The sequence below is a fragment of the Homo sapiens genome, chromosome 2, assembly GCF_000001405.40.
Source record: "Homo sapiens chromosome 2, GRCh38.p14 Primary Assembly".
Classification (NCBI taxonomy): Eukaryota; Metazoa; Chordata; class Mammalia; order Primates; family Hominidae; genus Homo; species Homo sapiens.
In genome coordinates this window covers 149,136,021-149,148,255 of record NC_000002.12, presented here as the reverse complement: position 1 = coordinate 149,148,255, position 12,235 = coordinate 149,136,021, and the positions used below count along the sequence as shown (strand labels likewise).

The window sequence follows — 12,235 nt, the reverse complement described above, 5'->3', positions numbered from 1 at the left end:
GTAACACAGTTTAGAATTACTAAGCAAGGGTTCACCTAAAAGCTTTTAGAAGAAATATCCAAGATTTGACATGTTAAATCAATTTTCACATGCAGCTGCTCAATTCAGAAAGGAAAATGCAGGGCATTCCATAGAACAGGAGGCACTGGAATATTGCATAGAGATATTTCCTTTGCCTGATTGTGTACTGAATTGACAGGCAAATGGGTCAAGAGAAACTTGTTCCTACAGCCATCTTGAAATATCCTGAAAACAGAAGAAGAATGGAAACTACCCATAGCTCAGAACACATGACTACCATCATCTCTGACTATACACACACACACACACACACACACACACACACACAGGCCCATGTGCATAAATTTGCAATCAGCCAATCAGCCAAGCCTGCCCTACTCAATCTTGAAGCTTCTTATAGTCACACCAAAGCATCACACAAGGCTGGGCGCAGTGGCTCACACCTATAATCCCAGCACTTTGGGAGGCCAAGATGAGTGCATCACCTGTGGTCAGGAGTTCGAGACCAGCCTGGCAAACGTGGTGAAACCCTGTCTCTACTAAAAATACAAAAATTAGCCGGGCGTGGTGGCGCTCATCTGTAATCCCAGCTACTCCAGAGGCTGCAGGGGGAGAATCACTTGAACCTGGAAGGTAGAGGCTGCAGTGAACTGAAACTGTGCCACTGCACTCCAGCCTGTGTGACAGAGCAAGGCCCTATCTCAAAAACAAACAAACAAACAAACAAAAAACAAAAAAACAAACAAACCCTCAAACAAAGCATCACACAGTATGATCTGACTGGAGGTAGTCACAATACACAAATAAATCCTTATCAGATAAGAATTAATTTAAATTCCTTTCAAAGCTTTTCAAGAGGCAGAAAAGCCTGTCCTTCAGAGATACCCTCCTCTGGATTAATGACTTGGGTTACCCTCTTTATCACAAGTTAAAGGTAAATTAGTAGTTGGATTGATAATAGCTCTTCCTCCTCAAATTGCTTCACCATGGATTTCTGCTTCGTTTTTTGTTTTGTTTTTGTTTTCTTTTGAACACGTAGAGTTTGAGGCCACACAACTACCCCCAAGCCTCCTGGAAGCAGAGTAGACATCAGGGCCTTGGGCAAAGCAAGGCTCAAAGAGAATCTGAGTCAACGCTCTGGGAACCGCTGAGAAGCTGGGGTTGTGCTTCTCCGCCCTGGAGTCTTAGACTGTGTGGGAGGAGCCCTTCACCTGACCATCCCCAGCAATCCCACTGGAGGGATGAGGCCTCAGGAGGGCACCCGTATTCGTGATTCAATTCTAGACTTTCCATGTGTGCACCTCGACTTTCTTGTGCCCTGACAGTGTTGTGAAGAAATAAAAAATAATAAAATTTGTAGAAGATTCTACAGTGTTTGAAATATGTTCCGGCAGGTAAGCGCAAGGGTCTTCTAATCCCACAGCTACCAGCCCCTAAAGTCTCCAGTGCCTATTGTTTGTTACTATCGGAATTCTCCTGGAGTTGCTTTTCCTTCACACATCCTTGGGGTTGTTAATATTTGGGGTCTCTGAGGAGTGGCCCCCAATAGCCATAGTTCGGCCAAGACTGTCTAAACTGAGAGGGTCTTTAATATCTAGGGGTTCTCTTTACTGGGTCTTCCCAAATGACCCCTAACCTGATTATAATACTTATCTACATAAATGCATCCAAAGGCTCCCACTGCTCCTCAGACAAATGCAAACTCCTTTCACACAGCCTGGCGTGGCCCAGCCCTGCTGCCTACCTCCCATCCTGCCATTCTCCCTCATCCTCTGTTGGCTCTGGCCACACAGTCTTCTTTCTGAGGTTCGTATTTGCCATGCTCCATCCTTCCGCAGAGCCTCTGGATATGGCATCCCCCCCTACAGTGCCCCTTCCTCCCTTTCACTTGCTATTAACTCTTAGTCTTCCTGTCTATCTCAGTGCATGCACCACTCAGCCTGGAGAGCCTGGCCTCTCTCACCATGATTAACTCCACCTAATAAAGGTTCACAGAACAGTCCACTCTTCATTCCCCCATGAGCACGCCACGTCATTGCAATTTTGCACGTGCTTGTATAATTACATGATTAATATCTGTCTCTTGCACTGTAAGCTCTGCGAGGGTAGGACCATTTCTGTTTTTGTTCACTCATATTGTCATTGGCACAGAATAGAAGCTTAATGAATATCAGATGGACATGCAGATGGAGGCATGAACACACTATCTCAGCAGAACTGTCTTCTTCCCTGCCCTAGTTTGCACACCTTATCTTCTCCAGTTTTCACCTCCGGTCACATGTTTCCTCTGCCCAGAAGTTCCTTTCTCCCAACTGTTGCCTGTTGTTTCTTCAGAGGTCTGCTGCCTCCCCTACTAGGAGGAACAAACCTTGTGCACCTTCCCAGATTCCTTAAAGCATTGCTTTTATTTCTCTTTCTTTTGACTGGCACCCTCACTTTCACTGGGTCACCACTCTGTTTTGCATTGACCAGAATACCACACCACAGAGCTTCCTGAGAAGTCTCTGAGGGGTGGAGGATGCCAACTTCAAGTGAAGTAGTATTAGCTGCTCATAGGACAAAATTTTGCTGATGTTAAAAGGGAGAAGGGAGGGAGGCTGGCAGATCCATCCACCCCCTCTTTCTCTCTTCTATGGGCTGTTTCAACATGTGGCCCTTCCTTGTGACCCTCCTGCATTAGTTGCAGAAGAGACAGATGTGGTTCTTCAGGCTTGCCGGAAGGCATCAGTCAGCACAATAAAGCATCCCAGTGTGTTCACCGTATCTTCCCCTGTGTCTCACTTCTGTTTTCCCTCACTCTCGCACCCGGGCTTGTGTCTTCCAAGTAAACTGTTAGTATCTTAATCTTTTTCTCAGACTCTGCTCTCTTGAGCATCCAGGCAAATATCCTCTAATATCCCAGGTCCCCTCAAGAGCGCAACTGCATGTATCGTCCAAGCACACAATCCAGTAGTTTGAGAAGGGTTTCTCTCTAAATATGCTGTGAATGGATGAAGCTATTGGAAATTTGACCTGGACTAACAGAAGGAAACTCATAATCCCTCTGCTTGAATCTGCTCTAGTCAGAACCCACCATCAGTGGTACTGATTTTAATTCCAAGAAGCCTAATTTAAAACTGTGTTTCTCAACATTTTCAAATGACGGACCACTTAAAGAATCTGAGCGAGGCTATGAACCCCTCTTCCCAGAAAAAATATGCACATATGAATCTGTACACTCTCAGTTTAGGGGGTTCTCAGGACCTCTGAAGCCCCATCCGTAGATTTCATAGTAAGGAACACAATCAATGGGCAGTAACAAGTAGAGCAGTTGACACCACGTTTCATAGGGAACAGTGGAAAGAACAAATTCAATACAAATCAGGGGTGGAAGATGTGAAATTTGCTGTATTTGAAGGCACGTCAAGTGGAAAAGCCATTAAATGTTTGTTCCTATAGTATCTCCTCTTCTGGGGGTGACTTCTCTGATTTCCCCAGTAAGATTTTGCTGTCCTAGCCTCATGAGTATGCTGTGATCCTTACTTACAAAATACTACTAGTCTTGGTCAGGCACCATGGCTCATGCTTGTAATCCCAGCACTTTGGGAGGCTGAGGTGGGCGGATGACTTGAGCCCAGGAGTTCAAAACCAGTAGGGCCAACATGGTGAAACCTTGTCTGTACTAAAAATACAAAAATTAGCCAGGCGTGGTGGCGGGTGCCTGTAATCCCAGCTATTTGGGAGGCTAAGGCAGGAGACTCGCTTGAACCTGGGAGGTGGAAAGTACAGTGAGCCAAGATCACGCCACTGCATTCCAGCCTGGGTGACAGGGGGAGACTCTGTCTCGAAAACAAACAAACAAACAAAAACAAACAAAAAAAACTAGTCTTTCATCTAAAGGGCCAGATAGAGGCTCTACTTTGGACAGAAATGCCAAAAAAGTCAGTGCCCAAAGACCCCACCCCCATTCTTGTTTTCTTTTTTCTTCATACAAATCATTCTGAGCTTGTAGGCCATACAGAAACTGGCAGGCTGGCTTCAGGCCATAGTTTGCCATCCTCTGCATTAAGCTGAAGCCACTGATGAACCAGACCATCTCCACCATCATACTATAAGCCCCTCTGAGGCAGAAGTCATCATTTATTTTGCCCTGGGACCCCAGTTCTAACACAATGATAAGTACACAGTCAAAGCTGAATATATGTATGTTAGATGAAAGAATCCACCACAAAGACCTCCCTTATCATGCAGTTTGAACTGATCTCATCTCATCTCTCAGGACTTGCTGACCACACTTACCCAATTATGCTGAGTGCCGTGGCTGTCCACTGGCTTGAGAGACTTAGAAAAACCACAGAATCCTTTCTTTGCCAACTTTCAGGTTGTTTTTTCAGTTTCTGATGTGAAAAGCATAAAATAACCACTCACTACTTATTTCCATAGCTAGCCTTTTAAAAGTAATATTAAAAGTGGGGATGATGCCAAGAAATCTGTTAAATATTCTTGTGCAGCTGTTCACATCTTAGCATTTAATTAGTTATAATTGCAATTTAAAAACAATTAAACTCTGTGGGGGTTATTTACTGCATCTCGTGATGATTCTGTCTTTATGCTCCTCAGAAGAGACAATTGGAAGGAGAGATCTGCTGAGATTGATAAGACAAGTTATTGTCACCCATAGCTAATTTCCCTTGTCATTGTTTTAGGGTGATGGTGGTGTGATTTTTTTTTTTTTTTTTTTTGCGTCACATGTTGCAATGTTAGAACACAAATTTCTAAACTTTTCAAACGGTATAGTAAAAACATGGCGTAGTCTTGTAGTTTTCTCTCACATCCTCAGCATAGGAAGACCAAGAAGAACTGCCATTTCTCACCGAAGGTCCCTGCCCAGATCATAAACTCATTGTCCTAAAAAAAAAAAGTTGGAACCAAAATTTACATACAACGAGCCAAGAAGTTGAGATGGAAAAACAAAGGGGAATTAGAGTGTGTTAATGGTCTCATCTTATACAAATAGAAAGCTGCCAATTAAGTTAAACTTTGCTGGGAAATAAATGGATTTATGCATATTTTTGAAAGTGTAGTGCATACATGTAATATCATAGATGGGATAGTGGGAGAGATAATGGACAAAAGGAAAAGAACTAAGGAAATCTGAATGATTATGCATGTTAACTAATAATAATGTATCATTATTGCCTCATTAATTGTAAAAAATGTGCCAAACTGATGTAAGATGTGAATAATAGCAGAAACTGAGTGTGGGGTATATGTGAACTCTTTGTACTATCTTTTCAACTTCTCCATATATCTATAACTATTCTAAAGTAAAAGTTTATTAATTTCTAAAACGAAGGTTACTCCCTAAAGAATACAATTAAGATACGTAGCTTGTAATCAGGTGAAGAAGGAAAAAGTCGATTAAAAAAATACTTAGTTCAAGAGGGCAGGAAACCGGGCGTAGTGGCATGCACTTGTAGTCCCAGCTGCTCACGGGGCTAAGATGGAAGGATCACTTGAGACCAGGAGTTCAAGGCCAGCCTGGGCAAAATAGTGAGACCCTGTCTCTAAAATTAAAACTTTTTTTTTTAAAGACAGGAGATAAGAAAAAGTTGTCTATGGGGGGAGAGGTTGATAAGCATTATATACAACACACACAAAAGAAAGTGGCAAAAACAAAGTTTGCATTTTAAGGATGCGGTATCTCCTGTCCTGTTCCCCTAATTTAATACTTGGCTGGCACTCTCCAATTCCCTTCTCACTCAACACTTCTTTCACTCGTATCCCAGGCCCCTTATCAGTGATCTGCAATTCAATCAACCAATTAACAAATATTAACTGAGCCCCTGGTGTAAGACCCTCAATAAATGCTACAGGACCCCATTCCTGGAAAAAGCAAGATGGGTGCTCCATGGGTCTTCTTCGGGTGCACCTCCCAAGCCCAGTGCAGGGCTGGCTGCACTCAGCCAGCGCTCAATACACATTTGTCCAGATTGTCTCCCCACGATGGGTCTGCATCCTGGCTGGGTGATGAAGTCACCCGGGGAGCTTTTAATAAACGCCATTGCCCAGAGCCACGCCAACCAAGATTCGAATTTAACTGGTCTTAAGTGAAGTTGGCCAGAACACCAGTATTTTTTAAAAGCTGAGCAGAAGTTTCTAATATGCAGCATGGGCAGGGTTGCATATACAGGAATCCATAAGGTAAATGATAGCAGACCAAGTCTCGATGTTATCAGTTAACTATTATAACCGTACAGGTGTGAGAATTCCAAATTAGTACTATTTTCTCTCCAGCAGCTACTAACTCACTGTGCAGACAAGACTCGAGTTATGCAGCTGCAAACCAGGGAACACCAAAGACTGCAAGCAAGCCACCAGAAGCTTGAAAGAGGAGAAGAAAGATTTCTCTACAGATCTTAGAGGAAGCATGGCCTTGCTGACACCTTGATTTCAGACTTCTAACCTCCAGGACTATGAGACAATAAATTTCTGTTGTTCTGAGCCATCCGGCTTGTATTACTTTGTTATAGTTGCCCTGGGAAATTAAAATTAATACAGCTTCCAATTAGGTACAGGGGGTAAAAGAAGAATAAGAGAAAACTTGATAATCCAACAGGAGGTTGGAATTTTTTTAATAGTAAATAAAAAGAAAAAAAGTAAGAAAGATTTCATATAACAAATACAAAATAACAAGGCAGAAAAAATTCAATATATCAGTAATTCAGAAACTATGGACCCATTAAATTCACTTGGAATGCAAAATGTTGAATGGCTTTACAAATCTGATTCATTGCTATGTAATTCCTAACGACATTTCCAGAATAACAGAACAAAATGATAGAAAATATACAAAAAATACAGAAGATGAAAAGACACACCAAACAACTTTAAATCAGGCTACCTCCCTGATTTCTCTCCCCCCTGTACTCCACGCGGATGCACCAAGTACAATTGTGGCCCTGCCTCAGGACTTTGCACGCATGGTTCCCATTTCCTGGAATGCTCTGCCCCAGACAGTCACATGGCTTACTCCCTGCATTCACTCAGCTCTCTGCCCAAACGTCACTTAGTCACAAAAGCCTGCCCTGACCAGGTTATCTAAAGAATATTCTACCCTATCAATCTCTATTTTCTTACCTGGTTTTAGTGCTTTTTTCATCACTTACCACCACCTGATGATTTTTGTTGGCCTCTCACATTAGAAGGTAAGTTCCATGAGAACAGGGACTTTATTTACTGTTATCTATCAGTACCTATAGCACACAGTAGGCACCAAATAAATATGTGCCTCTATCATAAAATTTGCAGATGGGAAATGTAAACATTGTTTTATGTTTTGGCCAAATCCCTTCTAAAGTGTTTATTTTTGCAAACTGCAGCTTCCTCTCTCCTTTTATGCCTAACGAACGATCAAAGATGGGACAAATGGAGAAAAGTTTTCTCTCTGGAGAAAGAAAATTCAAGATGGAGAGAAAGAATTTATGCCACGATGCTGGATTTTGTGGAAATTCACCAGGCATTTATTTCCTTGGTGACCCAATCATAAAAGTGAGGGAAAACCTTCTTTCAGCCAGTGTGGGGAATACAACACCAATGCTACAAAAGTACTGGCATTCTAAATGCAAGGATAAGCTTAAAGAGATTATTTGAATCTAAGAGTGTGGGAGGGACATTGGCTCTCACGGTCCAGCAGGTGTGAGTCGGATCTAGCTAACTCCCTGAGGATCAAGGATTCAATTGCCATGCTGAACGGGCACCCCTGATTCCTACAAGTTCAACTCTTTATGAGACTTCTCCCATTTACCTTCTCTGGACCTCGCTTAGCACTACCCTATGTGAGGGAATCATGGGGACAGAAGGAAGCCTCCTCGCCCTGCCACTTCCCAGCAGCCCTGCCCTGAAGGCACTCTCCCCACACTTTGGTTCTTTAAGGGAGCCCCACATCATGCAAAGCGCTGAACCACAAGCTCGCTCGTTGCCTTGGCATCACCAGCACTGACCAAGAAAAGCTGGTGTTAGGTGTAGGCTACAAGCCAAACACTCAGGGTCCCCAGCCCTTTCCCACCACAGCCTGTCACCCAGGAAATATAGAACAATCTGTCCAATCCCTCCCACATGCACATGGTCCTCTGGGAGCAGGTTATATACGTTTGTGAATTTATACACAGCCTGGTGTCAGGCCAATAAATTACTTCTGGAATTCAGTTCCAGTAAAGAAAAAAAAATCCACCCCCACACAACAACAAAAAAGGAAGGAAGCAAGAAATTTTAAAAAGAGGTGAGTCTTCTTTTCTTCCCACCCATGGGCTTTTCCAGTCCCTAGAAAGTTCTTCTTATAGTCTAACCTAATTCCTTCTTGAACAAATGTAAGACATATGTCTCTAATTTTCATGGGAAATGGAGAGGAGTTCACAACTATGTCCATATTACCTATCTTCAAATACTTAAGGGCCTCTCTCTGCCTTCTCTTCTCTAAGATAAACAAGTTCTCTTCTTTAAGTCTGTAATAATCATCCAATTTATTTCATGGCCCCCTTGATCTTGAAACACGGCAAATTTGAATAAGATATTTGTTTTAAAGTAGTTATGTTGCTGTAAGTTCTGCTCCTCTAATACTTAAACTTTCCCCATTATGATACCTCTTTGCTTGTTATATTTTAAACAGTGCCTTGCTGTTTAAATGAGGAATGAGAAAAGATTTGCCTTGCTAGCATCTGTCACCGCCGACCCTAGGTTGCCTCTGAAGTGTATGCTTACAGCCTTTACCTAAAATTATTAAGTGCTCTGGTGACATTATTACAAGAGGGGGCAGGAAGAGTGTCAACCTAATGAAGCGGCAGATTATATCTGATGGTCTCCATCTGAAAATCAGCACAGGCCAAGCTGTGTGCTAATCAAGCTACCAAGGGGCCTTCACCCTTGGACAACAGCAGCCTTTGACGACACCTGAGAGGAATATGAGCTGCCCCCTTTCTATTGCTAATAAGCTGAGTGGAGAACGGGTTATGTTTCATGGAAAAGCCATGCTCTCCCCTTCCAGGGCAAGCATCCAAAGCATAGGGGCTCCAGGAGGCAATAAACCATTCCTTCCCGAGTTGGAACTCGAACCACCTTGCTGGAAGGCTGACACTGTGGCCTTGAGTTCAGGACTGCCAGCACTTCACGGTGCTACATGTCACAGGGTTTCCATGTATCCTCATTGAATAAATGAATGAATGAGTTATTAAGATTTACATTTGGTTCTGAACTTCCTAGTAAACAGCAAGAGGAATATACCAGTTCACGTAGTTTTCATGTGCATAAGACAGAAGAGAACATTACTTTAGAAAATATAACACTGCAAAAATTGTTTTGGAGAATGTTGAACATATGCTTCTGTGTGTTCTTAAAGTCCTCTGCTGATGGCCATGTGCAGTGGCTCACATCTGTGTAATCCTAGCACTTTGGGAGGCCAAGGTAGGAGGATTGCTTGAGGCAGGAGTTCAGGAGTTCAAGACTAGCCTGGGTAATATAGCAAGGCTCTGTCTCTACAAAAATATTAAAAATGGGCCGAGTGTGGTACACATACCTATAGTCTTAGCCACTTGGGAGCCTGAGGTGACAGGATTGCTTGAGCCCAGGAGTTCGATGATACAGTGAGCTATAATCATACCACTGCACTCCAGCCTGGGTGACAGAGCAAGACCCTGTGTCTACTTAAAAAAAGAAAACCTCCTCTGCTGAAAACCCATGCAAAAGGCCAGTGCTCTTTTCTTTATTTGCTAGGTGGAAAGATCTGTTGGTCACACATGGATTTTCCCATCCACATCTGCACCTGCTTATGTGGCAAAGATAAAAGTCAGTAGCTCCTTCTCTACATCTTTAACAGCCAACATGAACATACTATGGAGTCACATTCATTCAAACTGGTTGGGCCTGGAACAAGAAATCACATGGAGTACAGCAATACATAAATTGTTTCTCAGCAAGTGGTCAGATTCCACCTGCTAATAATGTGCAACTAATTCCAGACTTCCTTTCCCTCCCTAGGTTCATATTTACCAATGACAAGAGTCTGAATCCATATATTCAAACAGGAGTTCAGAGAGTAGAAAAGAGAACATAATTTGTGTTTTTTAAAAAAGTAATTTCATTGAAAAATGTCATCACACAAACTCCTTCAACTCAGGAGGAAAGAAGCCACAGGATATTACTCTAGCTTATAAGAAGGATAAATAGAAACTTGGAGGAAGCAATAAGCCTTCTGAATCTTGGAATTTAATGATACTTTATAAAGAGTGAAAAGATTAACTCCTAATGTCAGCCAGGTGGATGTGAAACAGATAATTTTATATGGCACTACAGGTAATGGCATTGATACATCATACCAAATTGCCCCAGAAAGATTGTATTAAAATTTAAAATATGTATTCCTTTGACCCAGCAAGTTTACTTCCAGCAATCTATTATAATGAAATAATAGAATATTTATTTGTAAGGTGCAAAGTTATATGTATAGAGACTTATTTATAGTACAGATGTGTTGTTTATGAAAGAAAAAATGAAAACAATCTAAATGTCTACTAACAAAAATTTGATTAAATAAGCCCTGGCATATTTAAAGAACTATAATGATTGTTTCACTCTTGTATGCACAAATATTTATTGAGCATCTGCTATGCTGAGCATGGTTCTAAGCACATGAGTTGTATCACATAAAATATACAAAAATCTCTGCTCTTGTTGAATTTATATTCCAGACAAAATGTTTTTGAATAAAATTTTAATTGGTAAATTTTGAAATGCCTACATGTTTTTGAAATAGAGATGTACATATAATTTCAGAGACACATATTTTCTTATGCATAGATAAGCCAGATATACCCTTAAATGAACCCTTTGCAATCTCTCTGAAGCTCCTGTGGGTCCCTTACTTGTAAATGGGAAACCACTGGAGTATCTTAAAAATAAAATAATAACAGCCTGAGCTTTGGAACACACTTAAGTGGATTCAATCATGGCTTTGATATATACACTAACTGCATGATCTTAACAATTTAATTAACCTCACTCATCCAGTTCCCCCTCTTTGACTCACAGGATTACTATAAGAGTTCAAAGAAAAACAATACCTAAAGTCCTTTACACAATGCCTAGAAAATAGCAGATGCTCAATAAATGTCTGCTGCCTTCACTCTCCTTAGACTGCCTTGGGATTCAGAACACAACTACTCATTGCCTTTCTCTACTAATTTATTATCCAACTTAAAAGGAAATGCATCCATCCAAAACATTTAAATGAAGAATTATTGTTGCTGGATCAAAGGATTTTTAATTTTCCTCTCTGTCCTCTTTCTCTATCTTGGCCCATATATACAGAGCAAAAACCAATCAATCTTCTTTCCTTCAGCAACTACATCTTTGTACTCCTTAGCACTGTTCCCTCTTCATAGAATAAGCTGCCTAAAAACATTTTTTAATTAGGCCAATATTCATTAGCTTACTTTGACCAGTATTCACATTTTTTTCACGAAATAATTATTTTCTCACAAAGCTTATAAGTCAGCAAGGACAAATGCCTCTGCAGAATTTGGAGGAGCCATATCCTTCTAAACTAACTGCAACACCCTTACAATTTGTTTTCTATTGGGTGTTTTTCCTTAAATCACACACTTCACTTAATGCTTCAGCCTATGAACACAGTAAAATCTTTCAGTAGAATATCTATTAGAGAGTTGCAATCATGAAAATAAAATCCAGTGGCATAAAATAAGATGGCTGGTGACCCACTGCCATCTGGGAATGAGGCGTTGTAACAGCGAATCTCCTAAGAAGCTAATGAAGACTCGGAGTCTCTGGATGCTGGAGTTGGCCTCTGGCTGTAAGCTTCTACCAAAAGCCACGGTAATTCTTTCATTTAGTCCAGGGCACTGGTAGCTTATGAAATATTGAAAATAATGCTTCTTATGAAACTCACTGTTTCATCAGATAAATACTTTCAGGCACTTAGCACCAAGGGGAGAAAAATGTAACTTCTGAAGTAATGCTCTGTTTAGACTTAAATGCATAGGAAACAGTGAAACTAATACATTTTTCTTTTTGCTTTGGTTGCCAGAATGTTCTGAATAAGATATAAATCTTAATAACTAATTCATTCTTCTAGGTATTCAATAAACATATATGGAGCCGCTATTACATGTCAGCCCCCATGCAAACTGCTGGTAATTTTAAGCTCAAGGACACAGTGTCAGCC

General features: G+C 41.3%; 1 protein-coding gene across 29 annotated transcripts in view; it reads right to left on the bottom strand.

Moving 5' to 3' along the window:
• Positions 1–12,235, bottom strand: part of LYPD6B (LY6/PLAUR domain containing 6B) — a 176,564-nt gene that overhangs the window by 67,007 nt on the left and 97,322 nt on the right. For 5 of the 29 annotated variants that reach the window (XM_047443404.1, XM_047443405.1, XM_047443402.1 and 2 more), the window contains one exon: positions 4,300–4,397. The exons of the other annotated variants lie outside the window; for them this stretch is intronic. In XM_047443404.1, the coding sequence (XP_047299360.1) occupies positions 4,300–4,397 (98 nt within the window). The remainder of the gene's footprint in view (positions 1–4,299; positions 4,398–12,235) is intronic. 29 annotated transcript variants of the gene reach the window in all.